Below are 24,616 nucleotides of genomic sequence, written 5' to 3' on the forward strand. Positions count from 1 at the left end.
ATTTTAATAAATATTTTCAAATTAAAAAATAATAAAATCACCTTTTTTTTTTGAGACAGTGTCTCGCTCTGTCGCTCAGGCTGGAATGCAATGGCACAGTCTCAGCTCACTGCAACCTCCACCTCCTGGGTTCAAGCGATTCTCATGTCTCAGCCTCATGAGTAACTGGGATTACAGGTGCATGCCACCATGCCCAACTAATTTTTGTATTTTTAGTAGAGATGGGGTTTCACCTCGCTGGCCAGGCTGGTCTCAAACCCTTGACTTCAAGTGATCCACCCACCTCAACCTCCCAAAGTGCTGGGATGACGGGCATGAGCCACCATGCCCAGCCGCATTTGTTTTTATAATACAGGATTCCCAAAGGAGCACTTTAAAGTCTCTTGCATGTAAAACAGTAAGCATCTTGAGAATACAAATGATGCAACCTGATTTTATTTAAGTGCTTTTTATAATTGTTTTAAATCCACCTAGAGTATACAGAATGTGAATATCAAGAAACCCATAACCGTGACTTTATCCTGATAGGAAGCAGAGGAAGAGGATGAAAAATGTGCCAGTGAGCTTGAGTCCTTGGAGAAACACAAGCACCTGCTAGAAAGTACTGTTAACCAGGGGCTCAGTGAAGCTATGAATGAATTAGATGCTGTTCAGCGGGAGTAAGTTTATCTCACCAAGATTTATACGTTTATTTTCAGATTATTAATTTAACAGTTCCATAAAATTAGATCTATTTTTATTTGCTTTAATTTATAGTATACAGCTATTTAGGATGGAAAGAATGGTATATAGAACTTAAGTACAACTGCTTATAACTCGAGAACTTTCCCTATCAACAGATACATTCTGTTAGTATTAGAGTTACTGTCCACCAAGAAATCATTAATCGTTAGATCTAGTTAATACATGGCTTTTAATCCCTGAAAACAACATAAAAAATTTTAAATCAATTCAAATAAATTTGGCTGTTAGTGAATTTTAATAAAATTCCACTAAGCTTTAATAAATTCCACTGAGCTCATGTTTTTATTTCCTAGAAATTATGTATATTATATAGTAAAATGTAATTATACTATAAATTATAGTCAGTCTACTATAACACAGCATATGCCTTCCAAATAGTTACCATGCTGTGCAAAATCATGCCATAAAAATCACAGGACCTACGGGAAAACTGATATTGAGGCACAGCACTAAAATTTCATCAGTAGTTAGGCTCAGTGGCACACACCTGTAGTCCCAGCTACTCATGAGGCCGAGACAGGAGAATCACTTGAGAAGTTCAAGAAGTTCAAGGCCATCCTGGGCACTATAGCAAGACTCCATCTCTAAAAAAATTAAAAACTCCATCAGTAACACATATAAACAAAAGATAAGAATCAAACAAAAATGTTAGCACAATGATACACATACTTAATGGCTAAGAAATACATAATGCTACAATAAATATGGGACCCTTCATAATAAAAAGACCTCTAGTTTGATTTGAGAAATGGGCATTCAGAAGGCTGCAGACTGAATTACTGTAAAGAGGTAGAAAGTGGGTTATCTGAAGTGGGATGGAAATTGCACCATCAGTACTGGATGCATGTGGCTCATTACATATGCAGTGCACTGAGTAGCTGCTGTACATTTGATGTGTGTGCTTAGATGTGTGTATTCTTTTGCATCTGGATTCAGCTGGGTGCGGTTTTCTGCATTCACCAGGTATTTCTCAGGAAAGAAACTGGCATAAGCAAACATGAAATTTGCCAGATTGCGCTCATATTTCCAAACAAACACAACAGAACTGCCTATATATTTTGTTGTATTTCTTAGAAGTACTTTATAATCAAATTATACGTTGTCAGGATCTCGTCCTTCTCAGTTTCCCTCACAATTTTTAAAACTTACATAGGAAAAATTTTAGCCACACTATATAATAACTACAACTACAAACAGTGGCATCCTTTCTTTAAATAATTTTCTGTCTCTGTGTATATAATGCTCTTGAGCAACTTATATAAAATCAATATACTGAACAGTTAATCCATAGGCTCCGTGTACATTTATGTAAAATATACATTTTTTAAGTCTTAAGTTGCCCTCAAATAACTGAAAAATTTTCTATTTTGAGATTGCAAGTACAAGCCTTGTGAAAGTCATTTCTCTTCACTTCTTTATTTGTAGGCCAAGGGGAGAAAACTCAGTTGAGGTTTATTTGGCCTGCAATTTTATTGGTTTTAATTTGAATTTGAATTCCTATAAGTAAGACTTCTACTCCCCCATTTGCAAATTTTTGTCTTGCCCAGAAAGCATTTGAGTTTACAATCCCTTTGGAGACTCAGTTACAACCCTTCGCTCCAAAGCTTTATATGTTAAAACATGGTGCTCTTTTGTTTTGTTGCTTGCAAAGGATCTTTGAAAATGTTTATATTTCTCTTTTAATTATTGATAGTGGGACCTCTACAAATTATACATATAGTATGCAGCACATAAATCAATCACAGTTTGGTTTTTTTGAATGTGGAAATGGGAAGTGAGCTAACTAGAACGGATGTATTAATTTTTTTCCTGGACAACTTAAACAAGAGTTTTTGTTCTACAGATACCAACTAGTTGTGCAAACCACGACTGAAGAAAGACGAAAAGTGGGAAATAACTTGCAACGTCTGTTAGAGATGGTTGCTACACATGTTGGGTCTGTAGAGGTAAGTATGTGATGGTCTTTCCTACGTTCTAAGAAAGGTTTTTAAAACTTTGATACATTTCTGCTTTCTTCCATATAAATTAAATGATGAATTTTATTTCTATTTAAAGTATGATCTGGCAAAAATTTATCAGAAGAATCTTGTCTAGTGATGTGGCAACGTGATGCAGGGGAACACTTGAGCATTTTTTTTTTTTTTTTTTTTGAGACGGAGTTTCACTCTCATCACCCAGGCTGGAGTCCAATGGCATGGTCTCAACTCACTGCAACCTCCACCTCCCAGGTTCAAATGATTCTCCTGTCTCAGCCTCCCAAGTACCTGGGATTACAGGAGCCTGCCACCACGCCCAGCTAATTTTTGTATTTTTAGTAGAGACAGGGTTTCATCTTGTTGGCCAGGCTGGTCTCAAACTCCTGACCTCAGGTGATTCACCTGCCTCGGCCTCCCAAAGTGCTGGGATTACAGGCGTGAGCCACCGCACCCAGCCCACTTGTGCATTTTATAAAGTAATCTATTGTATTTGCATAAACAACATATGATGTTATGTATTACACCAACAATGTATAATGATGCTATGCCAGGCCATGTTCTACATACTGAAAACATATTAGTACATTTGAAAACTTATCGTACATTTAGGATTTCATTAAGCTTAAGATGAAAGGGCATATCTTATGATGATCGTTATTCCTTTCTGTGATTTCATATAGGCACAAAGTAAAGTATTTCAAAAGTATGAGTTTTATTTACCTCATCCCCACTCTTCACACAGCTAAAGTTCACCAATAAAACTATCCCTCCAACCTGCTGCACAGAGCCCCAGAAGCTAAGATAAATTGCTGAACTATAAAATTCTTGGTTAATTTATTAGGTGATAATATATTTCCAGTTGAGTATGGTTTAAGAAAAAAATTCACTTTATCATATTAATAGACTTCCATTTATTGAAAACATGAGCATGTGATACCCTACTACCCATCCTCTCCCCTGAAAGACATTGAACTGCTGCTTTCTTGGTGCCAATGGTCTTCACTTTTTAGTGTGAAGAACTAAGAAAAGCATCCTAGATGCTATGTCAGAAAACGTGGGTTCTACCCACTTTCTAATTCAAGCACTAAGTGTTTCTATAACCTTGCCTGATCCTTTTCAGCCAGTGTTATTCATCTGAACCATAGGACAAAAAATTATCTGAGTGATATGTTCTCATTTTCCCAATCATAGTATACAATAATTCTATTCTAGATGCATAAGAGAAAAGTTTATTCATAGCATACAATTGATGGCTTAGGTTGACAGAGCCTGTTTTTATGTGTCATTTTACATCTTTGAGTCCTTAGTTTCTTCATCTGTAAAAATGAAGCAGTTGTGCTAAACAGTTGTGAACATCCTTAGCACCTCTGACTTTCTTTTCTTTCTTTTTTTTTTTTTTTTTTTTTTTTTTTTTTTTTGAGATAGCCTCACTCTGTCACCCAGGCAGTAGTGCAATGGCGCGATCTCGGCTCACTGCAAACTCGCCTCCCAGGTTCAAGGGATTCTCCTGCCTCAGCCTCCCAAGTAGCTGGGATTACAGGCATGTGCCACCATGCCCGGCCAGTATTTGTATTTTTAGTGGAGACAGAGTTTCACCATGTTGGCCAGGCTGGTCTCAAACTCCTGACCTCAAGTGATCTGCCCACCTCAGCCTCCCAAAGTTCTGGGATTGCAGGCATGAGCCACTCGCCTGGCAGTGATTTTCTATTATCTGCAGCTCTATTGTCTGTCCTTTGTTAATTCAGTAGTAACTTATCACTAGGGATTTGTGTGAAGTAATCACAGTTATCAATGTTTTAATCAGTTAACATAAAGCTAGATTTGAAAACCTAATGGTAAGTTACTATTATTTTTTAGTTTCTGTATAGTTTGGTGTTATTAGGAAAATTAGACCAAATTCAGCAAGCACTAAGCGCTTACTTTGCACTATGCAAAATTTATGATTAATCAGTATAAATTCTTAATAGCTTTCATAAAATATGGAAGAACCATAGAAAGTCAAACGAGTGTGGTTCCAATAAACAATATTTGTTGAACAGGATCAGGCAAAATGAGGAAACTTTACAATGAGTAATCAAGTTGGACTAAAGAAAACAGAGAGGGGGGTTTAGATCTAAAGGTACTTTTAGATGGAATATTTTTCTTGTGGGACAAAGTGTTTATTTGAGCAGTTCCTGGTTGGAGCCCCATAAAGGTCTCACATGTGGCTTGATGTTCTAGACCAGGGGTCAGCAAACTACAACCTGCAGGCCCAATTGGGCCTACAGCCGGCTTTTGTAAATAAAGTTTTATTGGAGCACAGCCACCTCATTTGTTTTAGTATATCTTTGGCTGGTTTTGCACTACAGTGGCAGAATTGAGCAATTGTTAAGAAAACCATCTAGACTGCCAAGCCTAAAGTAGTTATTATTTGATTCTTTACAGAAAAACTTTGCTTTTCCTGTGAGACACAAAATCACCTTTTTTTTCTTTTTTGGTCTGTTTAGGCATACCAAGAATTATTATAAAGCTGTAATAACTAGCACATTGTAGTATTGATGCAGAAAGACCAGTCTCTGTGATTAAGAGTACAGAAATAGATGCATGAGCATAGACATGAAATATATGTGAGAGAGGCAGTATTTCAGAATAGTTGGATAAAATGAATTGTTCAATTAATGAAGTTGGATCCCTACCTTAAACTCTACACAGAAATCAGTTCCAGATGGATTCAGAAATTAATGTGAGGCTAACTTTTTTAACTTTTACGAGAATTATAAGAAACTATCTTTATACTTTAGGGGTTGTAAATGAGTTCTTAAATTAGACACAAAAAGCACAAACCACAAAAAAATTATTTACAAATTTACCTTTCTTAAAATTAAGATCTTCTCTACATCAAAAGACACGGAAAGAGAGTGGAAAGACAAGCCACAAACTGATAGAAGATGTTTTTTAAAACACAACTGGTAAAAGATTACCATCCAGATATACAATGGCCTTTGAAAAATAAATAAATGGACGAAAGATTTGAAGGGGCCCCGAAAATATGTACATCTGATATGTATCAATAAAAATAATTATTTTACTTGAATGAGAATTTCACAAAAGAACCAAGGTGGCCAATAAACATATGAAAGTATATGTCATATTCCACACTTAAGAAATTGGCAAAAATTTAGTTTGATCATTACCAAATGCCAGCAAGGATGTGGAGAAATGGGAGTTCTAATTTACTGCTAGCAACTATGTAAATTGATAAAATAATTTTAGAAAACAATTTGGTGGCTGGGCACAGTGGGTCATGCCTGTAATCCCAGCACTTTGGGAGGCCAAGGCTGGCGGATCACAAGGTCAGGAGATCGAGACCATCCTGGCCAACATGGTGAAACCCCATCTCTACTAAAAATACAAAAATTAGCTGGGTGTGGTGGCACGTGCCTGTAATCCCAGCTACTTAGGAGGCTGAGGCACGAGAATCGCTTGAACCCAGGAGGCAGAGGTTGCAGTGAGCCGAGATCGCACCACTGCACTCCAGCCTGGCTACAGAGCAAGATGCTGTCTCAAAAAAAGAAAGAAAGAAAGAAAGAAAGAAAGAAAGAAAGAAAGAAAGGAAGGAAGGAAGGAAGGAAGGAAGGAAGGAAGGAAGGAAGGAAGGAAGGAAGGAAGGAAGGAAGGAAGGAAGGAAGGAAGGGAAAGAAAGAAAGAAAGAAAGAAAGAAAGAAAGAAAGAAAGAAAGAAAGAAAGAAAGAAAGAAAGAAAGAAAGAAAGAAAGAAAGAAAGAAATAAATTTGGCAATCCGAAAAACCAACTTTCACTCTAGGTATATTTGCCCTAAAAAAAATATTTACACTATATGCTAGGGGGCTGTACTAGGTTGAATAGTGCCCCCCGCAAAAGTCATGTCTATCCTAAATCACAGAAGGTGAGCTTATTTGGAAGTAGGATCTTTGCAAATGCGGTTGGTTAAGATGAGGTCATGTTGGATTAGGGTAGCAGTTGGTTAAGATGAGGTCATGTTGGATTAGGGTAGGCCCTAAATCTAGTGACTGGCATCCTTACATGAAGATCGTGTGCGGACAGAGGCGGATGCTGGGGTGAAGCAGCCGCATGCTAAGGAACACCAAGGACTGCCAGGAGCCGCCAGCAACTGGGGAGAGACGAAGAAGGATTCTTCCCTAGAGCCTTCAGAGAGACCATGGCCCTGCTGACGTCTTGATTTCAAACTTCCGGCCTCCAGAGCTGAAAGAGTACATTTCTGTTGTTTTAAGCCACCTAGTTTGTGGCAATTTGTTACAGTATCAGTATTTGAAATCGCAAAAAAATCAACAAAAACAACAAGAAAAAATAATGTGGCATGTTAGTTTCCCATTGCTAATGTAACAAATTACCACCAACCTAATGGCTTAAAACAACACAAATTTGTCATCTTAGAGTTATTAAGGTTAGTCTAAAATGGGTCCAAAGGGCTGTAATCTTTCTGGGGCCTTTGCCAGCTTCTAGAGGCCACCTACAGTCCTTGGCTTGTAGCTCCTTCCTTTATCATTAAAGCCAGTGCATGGCATCTTCTCTCCTCTCTGCCCTCTGCTGCTGTCCTTAAATTCCTTCTCTGACTCTGACACTGGTGATTTCCTCTTCTAAGGACCCACCTGGATAGTGCAGGATAATCTCCTTTTCTCAAGATCCTTAACTTAGTCACATCTACAGTTTCTTTTGCTATGTAAGCTAATAGTCACAGGTTCCTTTCTGGAATTAGGGCATGGACATCTTTGGAAAGGCTATTACTCAGCCTACTATACCTGGGAACAAACAAAACTTCATTACCAGCAAAATAAGTAAATGTTGATATATTCATTCTAGAATACTATGCAGTACATTGAATAAACTGCAGCCATATGTAGTAACATGAATGAATTTTAAAATACTATATGAAAAAGTCATAGAACATTATATTTAATATCATTTGATAAATACGAAGGTGAAAACCAGGTACTATTAAGTCAATATATATTTAGACATGTGTGTGTAATAAAGGTATAATATAAAGAAAAGCAAAACACCATTCAGGCAAGAGGCTATATCTTGGGGAGAAAAAAGAAGATACAATTCAGAAAGGGCACAAAAAGAGAGCCTATGTGGTGAATACAAATATATTCTTTTTACTTTTTTTTTGGAGATAGCATCTTGCTCTGTGACACAGGCTGGAGTGCAGTGGTCCAATCTTGGCTCACTGCAACCTCCACTTCCCAGCCTCAGGTGATCTCCTGCCTCAGCCTCTTGCATAGTTGGAATTACAGGCACACACCACCACACCTGGCTAATTTTTGTATTTTTAGTAGAGAGGGGGTTTTGCCATGTTGGTCAGGCTGGTCTCAAACTCCTGACCTCAAGTGATCCACCCACCTCAGCCTCATAAAGTGCTGGGATTGCAGGAGTGAGCCACCATGCCCGGCCCTTTTTATTCTTAACTTAAAAATGTTATCCTCTTGTTTGTAAATTTTACAATTAAACATTTTAAAAGAAATTAATTTTTTTTACTTTAACAATTGTTAATTCTCTTCACTAGAAACATCTTGAGGAGCAGATTGCTAAAGTTGATAGAGAATATGAAGAATGCATGTCAGAAGATCTCTCGGAAAATATTAAAGAGATTAGAGATAAGTATGAGAAGAAAGCTACTCTAATTAAGTCTTCTGAAGAATGAAGATAAAATGTTGATCATGTATATATATCCATAGTGAATAAAATTGTCTCAGTAAAGTGTATTTTTCTCTCTCATTTCTTACTAATTTCAAATGGTGAGAAGGCAAGGTAGTATGATTTAAACCAGAAGTCGGCAAAATACAGGTTGAGGATCCCTTACCCAAAATGCTTGGGACCAGAATTGTTTTGGAATTGGGTTTTTGGGGGTTGGGTTTTTTGTTTTTTGTGTGTTTGTTTGTTTGTTTGTTTTTCAGATTTTGGAAATCTTGTGATATCTTGAGGACAGGACTCATGTCTAAACATGAGATTTATTTATACACCTTATACACATAGGCTGAAGGTTACTTCATACAATATTTTTAATAATTTTGTGCATGAAACAATTTTGACTGAAATCCTTCATGAGGTCAAATGTGGCATTTTCCAGTTGGTGTTATGTCAGCGCTCAAAAAGTTTCAGATTTTAGGCTGTTTGTGGTGGCTCATGCGTGTAATCCAAGCACTTTGGGAGGCCAAGGTGTGAGACCCTACAAAAAGTTTAAAAATAAGCCAGGCATGGTGGCACCCACCTGCAGTCCCAGCTACTCACGAGACTGAGGTAGGAGTCTACCTTGAGTCCAGGAGGTTGGGGCTGCAGTGAGCTGTGATCACGCCACTGCACACCAGCCTGGGTGGCAGAGCAAGACCCTATCTCCAAAAAAGAAAAAAAGAAAAGTTTCAGGTTTTGAAGCTTTTTGGATTAGAGATGTTCTCAACCTACATCATGTGAGCCAAATCCAGCCGCACCCATTTATTTTCATATTGTCTATGACTGCTTTCTTACTACAGTGGCAGAGTTGAGTATATTCCAGAGAGACCATGTGGCCTGCAAAGCCAGAAATGTTGAGAAATGTTTACTGTCTGACCCTTTACAGAAAGTTCGCCGATCCCTTGTACAAATTATACAAAGGTTGATACTAACTAAACTTTTTAATGACTCTAGGCATATAGTACAACCCACTCCTGATCCAGAGCCCTGTGGTTTTCTGGCTTCATGCCATCTTTACTCCGAAACAGAAGAATACAGAATGTGAGAAACAGAAGAAATAAAAGAGTTCAACCCCCTCATTTTAGAGATGGGAGTTTATTTCTAGAGAAGCTCTGATTTCCCTCAGATTACACTTCTTAGTAGTGCTACAAGCCACAGTGGAACTTATTTGAGCTGGTGCACAATCCTGGGTACAGCCACAGGAGCCATGACAAATGAATATTCAGGACGTTAGAATGTGAGGTTTAAATTTCTGTTCTTTCAAATGTGAGTCAGAATGAAGAACATAAAAAGAAATGTAAGTAAAATACAATAAAAACTTGGAATGGAATTACAGCAAGGCTTTATGAAGAGAAGTGCATTTAGAATGGAATGAAAAAGAGGTTACAGTTTAGGGATAACTAATAATGACAAGCGTAGTAGTTACCAATGTATTGAAAAATCTTGACTTCTGACATCTAATAGAACTTTCTTCTATATAAATGTTCTATCTGCACTATCCAGTGTGGTACCAGCCACATGTAGTTATTGTGCACTCAAGTGACACATGAAGAAAGAATCTCAAAGATCTGAATGGACATTTCTCAAAATCAGACATACAAATGGCCAATGGGTATGTGAAAAAATGCTGAACATCACTATTCAGAGAAATGCAAATCAAAACCACAATGAATACCTCACGCCAGTTAAAATGGCTTTTATCAAAAAGCGAATAGGGTTCCTGGCAAGGATGTGGACAAAAGGGAACCCTCCTCCGTTGTTGATGGGAATGTAAATTAGTGCAGCCACCATGGAAAACTGTGGAGATTCCTGAAAAAATTAAAAATAGAACTATCATATGATCCAGCAATCCCACTGCTGGGTATATATCCAAAAGAAAAGAAATCAATATATTGAAGAGATGTCTGCACTCCCATGTTTATTTCAGCACTACTTACAATAGCCAAAATATGGAATCAACCCAAGTGCCCGTCAATGGATAAGTGGATAAAGAAAATGTGATATATATACACAATGGAATATTCCACCGTTTAAAAAAATGAAATCCTATCATTTGCAGCAACACGGACGGAACTGAAGGTCACTGTTAAGTGAAATAAACCAAGCACAGAAACACAGATATCACATGTTCTCACTCAGATGTAGGAGTTAGGAATGTGGATCTCATAAAGAATGGTGGTTACCAGAGGCAGGGATGGGTAGGGGGAGGGAGGGATGAAGAGAGGTCAATAAATGGCTACAAAAAAATACAGGTAGATAGAAAAAATAGACCTAGTGTTCGATAAGTCAGTAGAGTGACTATAGTAAAACATCTATTGTATATTTCAAAATAGTAGAGAATAATTCAAATGTTTCCAGCATAAAGAAAAGATAAATGTTTAAGGTGATGGATGTTCCATTTACCCTGATTTGGTTATTATACATTATATTAATAATACCAAATATCACATGTACCCCAGAAATATGCACATCTATTATGTATCAATAAAAAATAAAATTGCCACAGTCATAAATGAAATCATATTCTTCGCAACAATATCGATAGAGCTGGAGGCCTTTATCCTAAGTTAACTGACTCAGAAATAAGAAACCACATACCATATTTTCTCATGTATAACTGGGAGTTAAACATGTACACAGGGACATAAAGATGGAAATAATAGACACTGGGGACTCCAAAAGTGGGGGAGGATGGAAAGGAGCCTAGAGTTGAACAATTACCTATTTTACCTAGAAGCCCCACCAATATGCAATATACCCGTGTAACATACAAGTAACCCTTGAATCTAAAAATTGTTAAAAAAAAAATTAAAAAGACTCAAGATCTTTGCCACTCACAACCTGGTACAGAAACAACAGCAGCATCACCATCACCTGTGAGCTTGTTAGAAATGCAGACTCTGTTTTAAGAGACAGAGTCTCGCTCTGTCGCCCAGTCTGGAGTGCAGTGGTGTGATCATAGCTCACTGCAGTTTCAAACTCCTGGTCTCAAGCCATTCCACCACCTCAGCCTCCCAAGTAGCTAGGACCACAGGCTCATGCCACCACGTCTAATTTGGTTGGTTTTGTTTGTTTGTTTTTGGTTTTTTTTGACACAGAGTCTCACTCTTATCACCCAGGCTAGAGTGCAGTGGTACCAAATTGGCTCACTGCAACCTCCACCTTCCAGGTTCAAGCAATTCTCATGCCTCAGCCTCCCGAGTAGCTGGGATTACAGGCACGTGCCACCATGCCTTGCTAATTTGTGTATTTTAGTAGAGACAGGGTTTCACCATGTTGGCCAGGTTGGTCTCGAACTCCTGACCTGAAGTGATCTGCCCGCCTCAGCCACCCAAAGTGCTGGGATTACAGGCATGAGCCACCACATCTGGCCTAATTTTTTTTTTTTTTTAGAGACAGGATCTCACTATGTTGTCCAGGCTGGTCTCAAACTCCAGGAGTCAAGCAATCCTCCCAACTTGGCCTCCCAAACTCTAGGATTGCAGGTGTGAGCTACTGTGCCTGGTCCAGAAATGCATACTCTTGATCCCACCCCAAACCTACTGAATCAGAATCTGTACTTTTTATAGTGTATTAACATAAACTACATATTTAAAGTTTTCATAAGTGTTGACATCTGTATCTGTAAAACCATCATCACAATCAAGCTAATGAACATATCCATCACCACCAAGAGTTTGCTTATAGCCCTTTGCCATCCATTCTCACCCCCCACACCACACCAATCTCCAGGAAAGCACTGATCAATCACCTTTCTGTTACTACAGACCAATTAGTAAATTGGTAACAGAAACAGTAAATTGAAAACAAAGAAATTTACAACTTTCTAGAATATTACATAAATATATAATGTAGTATGTATACTTCTGCATGGCTTCTTTCACTCAGAATAATTCTTCTGAGACTCACACATGTTCTGTGTATCAATAGTTTATTCCTTTTTATTGTCAAGTAATATTCCATTATATGAACACGCTGAGTTTGTTCATCCATTCACCTGTTGATGGTCATTGTGTTGTTTATAGTTTTTGACTATTACAAATAAAAAGCCATTATGAACATTCATGTATGAATGTTCATATGGACACATGCTTTTTCATTACTCTTAGTTAAAAACCTTGGAGTGGAATAGCTAGTCCGTATAGCATAGACGCAAATTTAACTTTTAAGAAACTCACTGGTGGCTGGGCGCGGTGGCTCATGCCTGTAATTCCAGCACTTTGGGAGGCCGAAACGTGTAGATCATCTGAGGTCAGGAGTTCAAGACCAGCCTGTCCAACATGGTGATACCCCATCTTTACAGAAATACAAAAATTAGCCGGGCATGATGGCGGGTGCCTGTTATCCCAGCCACTTGGGAGGCTGAGGAGGAAGAATCGCTTGAACCCAGGAGATGGAGGTTGCAGTGAGCCAAGATCACACCATTACACTCCAGCCTGGATGGCAGAGTGAGACTCCATCTCAAAAAAAAAAAAAAAAGAAATTCACTGGCTTGTCCAAAGGTAGTATGTTATCTCAATTGATTTTTCATATTCAGTTACAGATCAAACTCCTTGTTCTACTCTTTCCCTCTTCTCACTACTACACTTGATGAGTGGAAAGAAGGAAGGAAGGAAGGAGAGAAAGAAAAAGAAAGAAAGAGAAAAAGAAGAAAGAAAGAAAGAAAGAAAGAAAGAAAGAAAGAAAGAAAGAAAGAAAGAAAGAAAGAAAGAAAACTCACAAAATATTTGTTTTCCAAGTGGTTGTACTATATTATGTTCCTACCTGCAGTGAGGGTTCCTGTTGGTCCAAATCCTTACTGACGCTTTGTATGATAGGACTTCTTCCAAACTGCTCATTACTTTAAAACATTTGATGTTTGAGCATGCTGCTTGTCATAAAGTTCTGTCTTCTACTGGACCAAAATCTGCCTCTTTGTAACTTCCTCTAGTTCCATGTTTTTACCACTGAGTAGTTGGGTTATCGCAGTCTAATTCCATTGAGGAACATCAATTATCTTTATTTTTTATTATCCATCTTATGTTTGATTCTATGTTTCATTAAATCAATTTTTTCCCAATTGTTTTAATCTCTTTGTCATTTTTCCTCACTTTCAGTGTTGTTATTTAAGTCTTTCTTCTATGGAAGTGTTTTTTAAATTTTTATTTAATTTTAAATTTTGGAAGAATTTGACTTTTTAAAAAGGTTGCAAGAGTAATTCAAATTGTCCCCCTCATACAAATTCTCTTGCTAATATTTCACTACAAACATTTATTTATCATTCTCGCTCCTCTCCTTTCTATTTATTTATTAATATCTGTTTTAGAGATAGGGTCTTGCTCTATCGCTCTGGCTGGAATGCAATGGTGTGATCATGGTTCACTGCAGCCTCGAACTCCTGGGTTCATGTAATCCTCCTGCCTCAGCCTTTTGGGTAGCTGGAACTACAGGTGTGCACCACCACATACAGCTAATTTTTGTATTTTTTTTTTTTGCAGAGACAGAGTCTAGCTATGTTGCCTGGGCTGGTCTCAAAATCCTAGACTCGGCCGGGCGCGGTGGCTCATGCCTGTAATCCCTGCACTTTGGGAGGCCGAGGCGGGCGGATCACGAGGTCAGGAGATCGAGACCATCCTGGATAACATGGTGAAACCCCGTCTCTACTAAAAATACAAAAAATTAGCAGGGTGTGGTGGCGGGCAACTGTAGTCCCAGCTACTCGGGAGGCTGAGGCAGGAGAATGGCGTGAACCCGGAGGCGGAGCTTGCAGTGAGCAGAGATCATGCCACTGCACTCCAGCCTGGGCGACAGCGAGACTTCGTCTCAAAATAAATAAATAAATAAAAATCCTAGACTCAAGCGATCCTCTAGCCTCGACCTCTCAAAGAGATAGGATTAAAGGCATCATTACTGTGCATAGCCTTTTCTCTTATCTTGACTCACCTGTAAGTTGCAGACATGATACCTTTTTAACTTCAAATAATTCAGTATATATTTCCTTAAAACAATGTCAATCTTATATAATCATAATACAATTATCAAAATCAGGAGATTAATATTGGTACATTACTACCTAATCTACAGAAAGTACTCAAATGTTGCCCGTTGACCCCAAAATGTTCTTTATTAGGATTTTTTTTTCCTGGTGCAGGATCCAACCCAGTACACACATTGCATTTAGTTGTCAAATCTTTTCCTTTATTTTTATATTTTATTTTATTTTATTTTTGGAGACAGGATCTCACTCTCACCCAGGCTGGGGTGCAATGGTGCAATCTCGGCTCACTGCAACCTCCGCCTCCTGGGTTCAAGTGATTCTCCTGCCTCAGCCTCCCAAGTAGCTGGTATTACAGACACATGCCATGACGCCCAGCTGATTTTTGTATGTTTAGTATGGACGGGGCTTCACCATGTTGGCCAGGCTGGTCTCGAACTCCTGACCTCAGGTGATCTGCCCACCTCGGCCTCCCAGAGTGCTGGGATTACAGTCATGAGCCACCGCACCTGGCCCAAATCTATTTAATCTCCTTTACAACTGGATGAGTTTCTCATTCTGACTTTGACTTTTATGACCTTGGTATTTTTGAAGAGTCATTTATAGAATATTTCTCAATTTTCGCCTAATGGATCTCATGATTAGATAGGATATCCACAGAAGTGATGTTACATTCTTTTCAGTGCATCCTACCAGAAGGTACATGGTGTTGTTAACTTTAATCAGCTGATTGTGGTGGTGTCTGTAAGGTTAATATGTTCACCTTTGTAATTAATAAGTATCTCACAAGGAGGATACTTTGAGACCATGTAAATATAATATTTCTCATCAAGCTTTTACTTAACATCTGTGTCTCTTGAATGAATTATTACGCATTGGATGCCAAAAAATGATTTTTAAATTTCTATATTCTTTCTATAATTCTTTCTTATTAACTAGCATTCTACTTAAGGGAGAACTTTCCCTTCCCCACCATTTATTCATTTATGTCAGTATGGACCCATGGATTCTTATTTCATTTTCATTTTATTTTTTTTGAGATGGAGTTTTGCTCTTGTTGCCCAGGCTGGAGTGCAATGGCGCAATCTTGGCTCACTGCAACCTCCGCCTCCCAGGTTCAAGCAATTCTCCTGCCTCAGCCTCCCGAGTAGCTGGGATTACAGGCATATGCCACCATGCCTGGCTAAAGTTTTTTTGTATTTTTAGTAGAGATGGGGTTTCTCCATATTGGTCAGGCTGGTCTCGAACTCCTGACCTCAGGTGATCCGCCCACCTCGGCCTCCAAAAGTGCTGGGATTATAGGCGTGAGCCACTGCGCCCGGCCTGGATTCTTATTTCAATCAGTGGGTTGTAATCTGTAACTATCACTATTTATTTTTATGTTTAAATCGTCCCAGATTTGGCCAGCGGGAGCCCATCAGGCTGGTTCCTGTGTCCTTTTTTGACATTTCTCCATCATTCTTTGAGCATTTCCTTAATTTCTGACACAATAGGATGTTCCAGTCCCATCCTGTATTGTCCATGCCCCACCCCTGGAATCAGCCAATCCTCCAACAATCCCTGGTTCCTTTTAGTGGACAATAATGTTTAGAAACCAAACTCTGGGTCAAACAGAGTGGCTGATGCCTGTAATCCCAGCATTTTGGGAGGCTGAGGCAGGAGAATTACCTGAGCCCAAGACTTCGAGACCAGCCTGGGCAACATAGAGACCTCATCTGCACTTTAAAAAAAAAAAATTATCCAGGATGGTGGCATGCTCCTGTAGTTTCAGCTACTCAGGAGGCTGCAGTGTGAAGATAGCTTGATACTGGGATATTGAGGTTCAGTGAGCTACGATGGTGCCACTGCACTCTAGCCTGGGCAACAGAGCGAAACCTTGTCTCAAAAAAAATAAAAATAAACAATCTGGGCACATATGTGCCCATTGTTCCTAAGGCGCCACTGCTTTCAGGCCCTCTCCAAGGACAGAGCTAGAAAATAGAAGTATGCAGGCTGGGCATAGTGGCTCACCCCTGTAATCTCAGCACTTTGGGAGGCTAACGCAGGCAGATCACCTGAGGTCAGGAGTTTGAGACCAGCCTGGCCAACATGGTGAAACCCCGTCTCTACTAAAAATACAAAAATTAGCCAGGCATGGTGGCGGGTGCCTGTAATCCCAGCTACTGGGGAGGCTGAGGCAGAAGAATTGCTTGCACCCAGGAGGCAGAGGTTGCAATGAGCTGAGATCGAGCCACTGCATCCCAGCCTGGCCAACAGAGCGAGACTCTGTCTAAAAAGAAAAAAGAAGAGAAAATAGAAGTATGTAGGTACATACACACATCTATATTTATATCTCTATCTGTATCAACATATTAAAAACCAGGAGTTCATATGGATATCTCCAGCTTTAATCCAACACTACGTGAGTGCTTCATCATGAGGACCAGAGCATAAATCTCGATAAGCAAGAATTCACTGGCTTGGGGGCACTTTTTCAGAACACAGGATTTAACACCATGGCAAGGACCCCAGGGGATGGGGGCAAACTCACTACTGAGGTGACTCATAACAGCACATGTAAAATGATGGCTCTCAGTGAGGTGGAAATGGCTGAGTTGCCCTGGCAGAGAGGAGAGGAAGAAATGGAAAGGCTGAGGGAAGTGGGCATGCTGGAATGCCTCTATCATGTAAAGCCAGAAGACCCTCCAGAGGACCATGTTCCACAGGAAGGCCTTGAGGACACCCCATCAAGGCCATCAGCCCTGGTGAGAGGGGCTGCAGCATCACCAGGAAGCTCAGTGGTGTCTCCTCTGCAGGCTGTGGGAGGTGGGAGAGGCAGGTGCAGAGTGCAGCTCATTAACATCCACGTGCATGACGGAGCCCCGAAGTAGCAAAGGCCGGGAGGCCGCCCACAGTGATGGGCAAGGCCAGACAAGCTCTCAAGGGAGGCTTGACCTGAAGGAAATTATGCAGGTAGTTAATAGGGATAGTGCCCATAGGGGCAAAATAGAAGGGCAGAGCTGGGGCAGAGCTGTGTTAACTCTCCTGCCCTCTGTCACAATTTAGTCCAGAGACCTAGAATGCCTGGACATCACACTGATCCCACAAGGGCAGGATGTTTTTTAAATCTTTAAAAAAAATCAATAGATTATTTTTAGAGCAGTTTTAAGTTTACAGAAATACTGAACAAGGGTGTTTTTTGGAGTGGCGGGAAAAAAGCAAAAATGGTGGAACACGGACCTAAGGGCAGTCACTCCTATGAAAGAATCACAATCTCTTGCTCAGTTCCCAGATCTGAGCCATTTTCAGATCTGAAACTCACTGACTGAAGATGTAGCTGACTTTCTAGGAAAAAAAACCCTAACAACACCATGGCAAGCGCATACTGTGGCAATTCCCCCAGTTCTTTTTTGTTTTTTTTTTTTGAGACAGTCTCGCTCTGTCACCCAGGCTGTAGTGCAGTGGTGTGATCTCTTCTCACTACAACCTCTGCCTCCTGGGTTCAAGCAATTCTCTTGCCTCAGCCTCCTGCATAGCTGGGACTACAGGTGCACGCCACCATGCCTGGCTAATTTGGGAGGCACTTTAGGAGGCTGAGGTGGATCGCCTGAGTTCAGGAGTTCGAGACCAGCCTGGCCAACATGGTGAAACCCTGTCTCTACTAAAAATACAAAAAATTAGCCAGGCATAGTGACGCACACCTGTAGTCCCAGCTACTCAGGAGGCTGACGCAGGAGAATTGCTTGAACCTGGCAGGCGGAGGTGGCAGCGAGCTGAGATCGCACCACTGCACTCCAGCCTGGGCGACAGAGTGAGACTCCATCTCAAAAATAAAAGAAAAAAGAAAATATGGTATATATACACCATGGTATACTATGCAGCCATAAAAAAGAATGAAATCGGCCGGGCGCGGTGGCTCATGCCTATAATCCCAGCACTTTGGGAGGCCGAGGCGGGAAGATCACAAGGTCAGGAGACTGAGACCATGCTGGCTAACATGGTGAAACCCCATCTCTACTAAAATACAAAAAAAAAATTAGCCAAGTGTGGTGGCACATGCCTGTAGTCCCAGCTACTCAGGAGGCTGAGGCAGGAGAATCACTTGAACCTGGGAGGCAAAGGTTGCAGTGAGCCGAGATCACATCACTGCACTCCAGCCTGGGTGACAGAGCAAGACTCCATCTCTAAAAAAGAAAAGAAAGAAAATATGGTACATATACACCGTGGAATACTATGCAGCCATAAAAAAGAATGAAATTATGTCCTTTGCAGCAACATGGATGCAGTTAGAGGTCATAATCCTAGGCAAATTAAGGCAGGAACAGAAAACCAAATACCACATGTTCTCACTCATAAGGGGAGCTAAACATTGAGCACACATAGACATAAACACAGGAACAACAGACACTGTGGATTACAAGAGAGCGGAGGTAAGGAGTGGGACATGGGTTGAACAAATACCTATTGGGTACTATGCTCATTACCTGGGTGATGGGCTCCATAACCCAAACCTCAGCATTACACAATATTCCCATGTAACAAACCTGCACATGTACCCTCTGTATCTAAAATAAAAGTTGAAATTTTTAAAAGATGAGAAAAGAAAAGCAGCCTCAGCAGGTCCTTTAGGAGGTATCCAGAAGAAGGCATTGTTATCCTAGGAGATGACAGCTCCATGTAGGTTATTGCCCCTGAAGACCTTCCAGTGGGACAAGATGTGGAGGTGGAAGACAGTGATATTAATGATTAGCCTAAGCTAATGTGCATGTTTTTGTCTTAGTTTTTAACAAAAAAGCTTAATTTTTTTAAATAAAATAGTTAAAAGCTTAGAGAATAAGGATATAAAGAAAATACTTTTGTACAGCTGTACAATGCTTGTGTTTTAAGCTGTGTTATTAGAAAAGCCAAAAAGTTTTTTAAATTGAGTTTATGAAGTAAAAATGTTACAGCAAGCTAAGATTAATTTGTTATCAAAGAAAGAACATTATTTTTAATAAATCTAGTGTAGCCTAAGTATACAGTGTTCATAAAGTCTACAGTAGTGTGCAGTAGCATCCTGGCTCTTCCCTTTCACTCACCACTCACTCACTAACTCACTCGGAGCAACTTCCAGTCCTGCAAGCTCCATTCATGGTAAGTGCCCTATACAGGTGTACCATGTTTTTTATCTTTTATGCCATATTTTTACTGTACCTTTTCTATGTTTAGATAGATTTAACTACAGATACTTACCGTTGTGTTACAATTGCCTGCAGTACTCAGTACAGTCATGTGCTGTACAGGTTTGTAGCCCAGGATCCACAGGCTATACCACGTAGCCTAGGTGTGTAGGTGATACCTACATTGAAGACTTAAAGGATTCAGGGGTGAAAGCTAGGTGATACCACTAGGTTTGTGTAAGTGCACTCTATGACATTCACACTATGATGAAATCACCTAATGACACATTTCTCAGAACAGATCCCTGTCATTAGGTGACTCATGGCTGTACTTGGGTGGTTGTAGACTGCAAAGGGTATTAACAGACAGTTGTAGGACAACTTGACATAGGATCTGAGTTGTCATTGACCAACAGCACCACCCACAACCCCTCTATTAGAGTAGGGTTTGTGAGAACTAAGTAGTTCAAGGAGTCTTGGCTAAGAGGCCTGGCTCATAGTATACCCACTGGGTCTGTAGACCCACCCAAGGGCCAGTTCCTTGACCCAAACTGCAAAAATGAAAATTGGTATACTTGGGATTTGGAGTACACCCACATTGGGTCATTAGGCTGTAGCATAAGAGCTATTATAATGAGGAACGCCTTATGGAAACTGCTGAAGCTGCCTGCTAGGCTAAGATAGTAAATTAAATAACATCAGATACCAGGAAGGCAGAGATCAGCGCCATCATTAAAGACTTAAAGGATTCAGGGGTGATGAACCCTGTCATATCTCCATCTAATTTACCAATCTGGCTCTTTCAGAAAGTGAATGGGCCCTGGGAAATGGAGACTACCCCAGACTAACCCAGTAGTAGCCTCATTCCCAGTTCCTATACCAGATGTGCTATCAGTGCTAGAGCACCTTTTTTTTTTCTCCAAACATGGTGTCAAAAAAATTTTTTTTTTGAGATAGGGTCTCAATCTGTCACCCAGGCTGGAATACAGTGATGTGATCATGGCTCACTTCAGCCTCAGCCTCCCCAGGTTCAGGTGATCCTCTCACCTCAGCCACCCAAGTAGCTGGGACTACCGGTATGCACCATCACACCCAGCTAATGTTTTGTATTTTTTGTCAAGATGGAGTTTCACCATGTTGCCCAGGCTGCTCTAAAACTCCTGGGCTTAAGTGATCTGCCTGCTTTGGCCTCCCAAACTGCTAGGATTACAAGCGTGAGCCATCATGCCCAGCCTACTAGATCATATTAATAAGGCTTCAGCATGTGGTATATAACCATTGATTTGGTGAATATATTCCTTACCATGCTGGCTGATTTTAAAAGATAGAACAGTCTGCATTACTGTGAGACAGACAACAATATTCATTAATAGTCATTTACAGTGTTTGTCACAGGCTATGTTAAGTCTTCTGCCATAATACATCAAGATACCTGGATATCAAATATATCGAGACCACCTGGACAATATACCAATACATTATGTCGATGACATCATGCTGATTGACAGGACAACCAAGAACTGGGTAGTCATACACACATGCTCCAAAGGATTGGAGATAAACCCTATGGAAGATTCAGAGACCTACTGTTTCATTGTTTTTAGGGGTTCAGTGGTTGGGGCATACCAGGGCATCACTCCAAAGTAAAAGACAAATTGCTATGTTTTGCATTCCCTACCATAAAAAGGAAACACCATGCCTGGTAGGCATCTTTGATTTCTGAAGAAACATATTCTATACCCAGGAGTATATATTGGCCCATATGCTGGCCAAGAGGCCATGGCTGTTCACCTTGAGTGGAGCCAGGAACAGGAAAATGGCCTGCAGCAGGTCCAAGCCATGGTGCAATTAGCTCTGCTTCCTGTTTCATAAAATGCTGGAGACCTTAGCGTGTTGGCAGTGTCTGTGGTAGGCAAAGATATGCTAGGGAATTCCAGGGATGGATCTCTAGGGTTCTAGAGTAAACTTATGACAGAAAACTTATGCCATGGCTGGGGTAGAGCCATGTGTATGAACACATGGGAGTGGGCACAAAGTGTGAAGAATTTTGTATCACATGTTAACACCCACCAGAAAACATCTACAATGGAAGAGGCACTGACAAAAGCACTCAGCAGTTGACATGGATAGAACTGGTGTGACAGGCACGTGGGTGGAATGGCCATGCTACCAGAGATGGAAGCCATGTGTAGGCCCTGTAGCAAGAACTTCCACGCACAAAAACTGATCTAGTTACTGCTACTTGTAAATGTCCATATTCCCCAGCAGTAGGGACCAACACTGAGCCCCAGATACAGCACTGTCCTTTGAGGAAACCAACTGGCTATTTGGTGGCAGGTTGACTCATGAGGCCTCTTCCACTCTTGAAGGACCAGCACTTCATCCTCACAAGGATGGATTACTATTCTGAGTAAGGGTTTGCCTTTTCTGCCTGTAGAGCCCCAACCCTCACCATTACCTGGGGTTCATGGAATGCCTGGTCCACAAACATGGAATTCCATACACATAGCATTTGATTAGTGAAGGAAATACAGGAGTGAACCTATGACCATGGGATCCACTGGTCACATCATGTACTTGCCTTCTAGAATGTTGGAACAGACATCCAAAGGTGCAACTGAAATGCCATCTTCCAGGAAACTCTCTGAAGGAATCATTCCATAGGCTGCAACACGTGTATTAAATCAGAGACTCTTTATGGAGCTGTGTCCCCAGTAGGAAGGATATGTGGGAATGGGAACTGAGGAGTAGAACCAAAGTGGCTCCATTAGCATCACTCTGAATGACCCACTGGGGAATTTGTGCTTCCCATCCCCAAACATTGCCTTTTTTTGGCCAGGCGTGGTGGCTCACACCTGTAATCCCAGCACTTTGGGGGGCCGAGGTGGGAGAATCGTTTGAGCCCAGGAGTTCAAGACCAACCTGGGCAACATAGTGATATCCTGTCTCTACAAAAAATTTAAAAAAAATTATCACACCTGTAATCCCAGCACTTTGGGAGGCCAAGGCAGGTGGATCACAAGGTCAGGAGATCAAGACCATCCTGGCCAACATGGTGAAACCCCGTCTCTACTAACATTACAAAAATTAGCTGGGCATGGTGACGTGCACCTGTAGTCCCAGCTATTCGGGAGGCTGAGGCAGGAGAATCGCTTGAATCCGGGAGGCAGAGGTTGCAGTGAGCCGAGATCGTGCCTCTGCACTCCAGCCTGGCGACAGAGCAAGACTCCGTCTCAAAATTAATTAATTAATTAATTAAATTTAAATAAAATAAATAAGTAAAAATTAGCCAGGTATGACAGTACATGCCTGAGGTCTCATCTACTCCAGAGGATGAGGTAGGAGGATCGCTCGAGCCCAGGAGATTGAGGCTTTGAGGCTGCAGTGAGCCATGATCACACCACTGCACTCCGGCCTGGGTGACAGAGCGAGACCCTGTCTCAAAAAAAAAAAAAATTGTTTTAACTTAACACTTCTGTCTTTCTGTTCTCTATCTTACTAAATGTTTGCTTTTTTCTTTACTAACCCACTCCTTCTGCTTTGCTTCCATTTATTTTGTTGTTTTTCCCCCTAAATTTTGATTACATTCTTAATTCTTTTAAAAAAATAAGTATTTAAACCTATGAATTTTCCTCTGGTTTCTACTTTAGTAGCATATCACATTTTTTATGTGCTGTGTATTCATTTTCTACAGTTTCAGTTAGTGGTTTCTCTCTGCTGTAAGAACTGTTTAAAATAGTTTTGAATTTCCACATAGAAGGAATTCCCACCCCACACAACCCCCAAACTTTATGAATTCCTAGTTGTATTGCATTGTAATCACAGAATGCTGTCTTCACTATTCTGCTTGGACCTTGCTGAGGTTTTTCTTTATGGCCTAATAGTTTTAGTGAGTGTTCGTGGGCAATGGAAAGGAAAGCATATTCAGATTTCAGGATGTATACATTGGCATGTTATCAACCAGATCTATCTTATCAATTACTAAGTTCTTCTGTGATTTATTTATTTTTTATCTACTTGATCACTGACAGTCTGAGAAACAGAAAGGTTAAATATATCTACCCAGTTCTTCTAGCAAATGGCAAACTTCTCTAGTAAATGGCAAAATCCAAATTCAGGCAATCTGACTTCAGTTCTTAACTACTATACCATGCTGGCTTTCATCGGTATTTGTTAGATTTTTCTTCATATGTTGTCACTTGGGGTCAAACCATTCAGGAGAAAGGCAGATCTCCCAGGGAAACAACTTGAAATCAATAAAAAGGATTGTGAGGACATAGGAGTTAGCAAGATACTCAGGAAGTCAGTGATATGGTTTGGCTGTGTCCGCACTCAAGTCTCAACTTGAATTTTCTCTCCCAGAATTCCCACGTGTTGTGGAAGGGACCCAGGGGGAGGTTAATTGAATCATGGGGGCAGGTCTTTCCCGTGCTATTCTCCTGATAGTTAATAAGTCTCACAAGATCTGATGGGTTTATCAGGGGTTTCTGCTTTTGCTTCTTCCTCGTTTTCTCTTGCCACCACCATGTAAGAAGTGCCTTTCACCTCCCACCATGATCCTGAGGCCTCCCCAGCCATGTGGAACTGTAAGTCCAATTAAACCTCTTTTTCTTCCCAGTCTCGGATATGTCTTTATCAGCAGCATGAAAATGGACTAATACAGTAAATTGGTACCAATAGAGTGGGGCAGTGCTGAAAAGATACCCCAAAATGTGGAAGCAACTTTGGAACTGGGTAACAGACAGAAGTTGGAACCATTTGGAGGGCTCAGAAGAAGACAGAAAAATGTGGGAAAGTTTGGAACCTCCTAGAGACTTGTTGAATAGCTTTGATAAAAATGCCGATAGCGATATGGACAATAAGGTCCAGGCTGAGGTGGTCTCAGGTGGAGATGAGGAACTTGTTGGGAACTGGAGTGAAGGTGACTCTTGTTATGTTCTAGCAAAGAGACTGGCAGCATTTTGCCCCTGCCCTAGAGATTTGTGGAACTTTGAACTTAAGAAAGATGATTTATGATATCTGGCAGAAGAAATTTCTAAGCAGCAAAGCATTCAAGAGGTGACTTGAGTTCTGTT

At 40.5% G+C, this 24,616-nt stretch overlaps 1 protein-coding gene across 1 annotated transcript in view; it reads left to right on the plus strand.

The window, feature by feature from the left end:
* NDC80 (NDC80 kinetochore complex component) overlaps positions 1-8,464 on the plus strand; it is a 45,079-nt gene extending 36,615 nt beyond the window's left edge. The window contains exons 15-17 of the mRNA NM_006101.3: positions 529-659; positions 2,588-2,690; positions 8,266-8,464. Of these exons, the coding sequence (NP_006092.1) occupies positions 529-659; positions 2,588-2,690; positions 8,266-8,403 (372 nt within the window). The 3' untranslated portion in view covers positions 8,404-8,464. The remainder of the gene's footprint in view (positions 1-528; positions 660-2,587; positions 2,691-8,265) is intronic.
* The last annotated feature ends 16,152 nt before the right edge of the window (positions 8,465-24,616 follow it).

Source organism: Homo sapiens, chromosome 18 (assembly GCF_000001405.40).
Source record: "Homo sapiens chromosome 18, GRCh38.p14 Primary Assembly".
Lineage (NCBI taxonomy): Eukaryota > Metazoa > Chordata > Mammalia > Primates > Hominidae > Homo > Homo sapiens.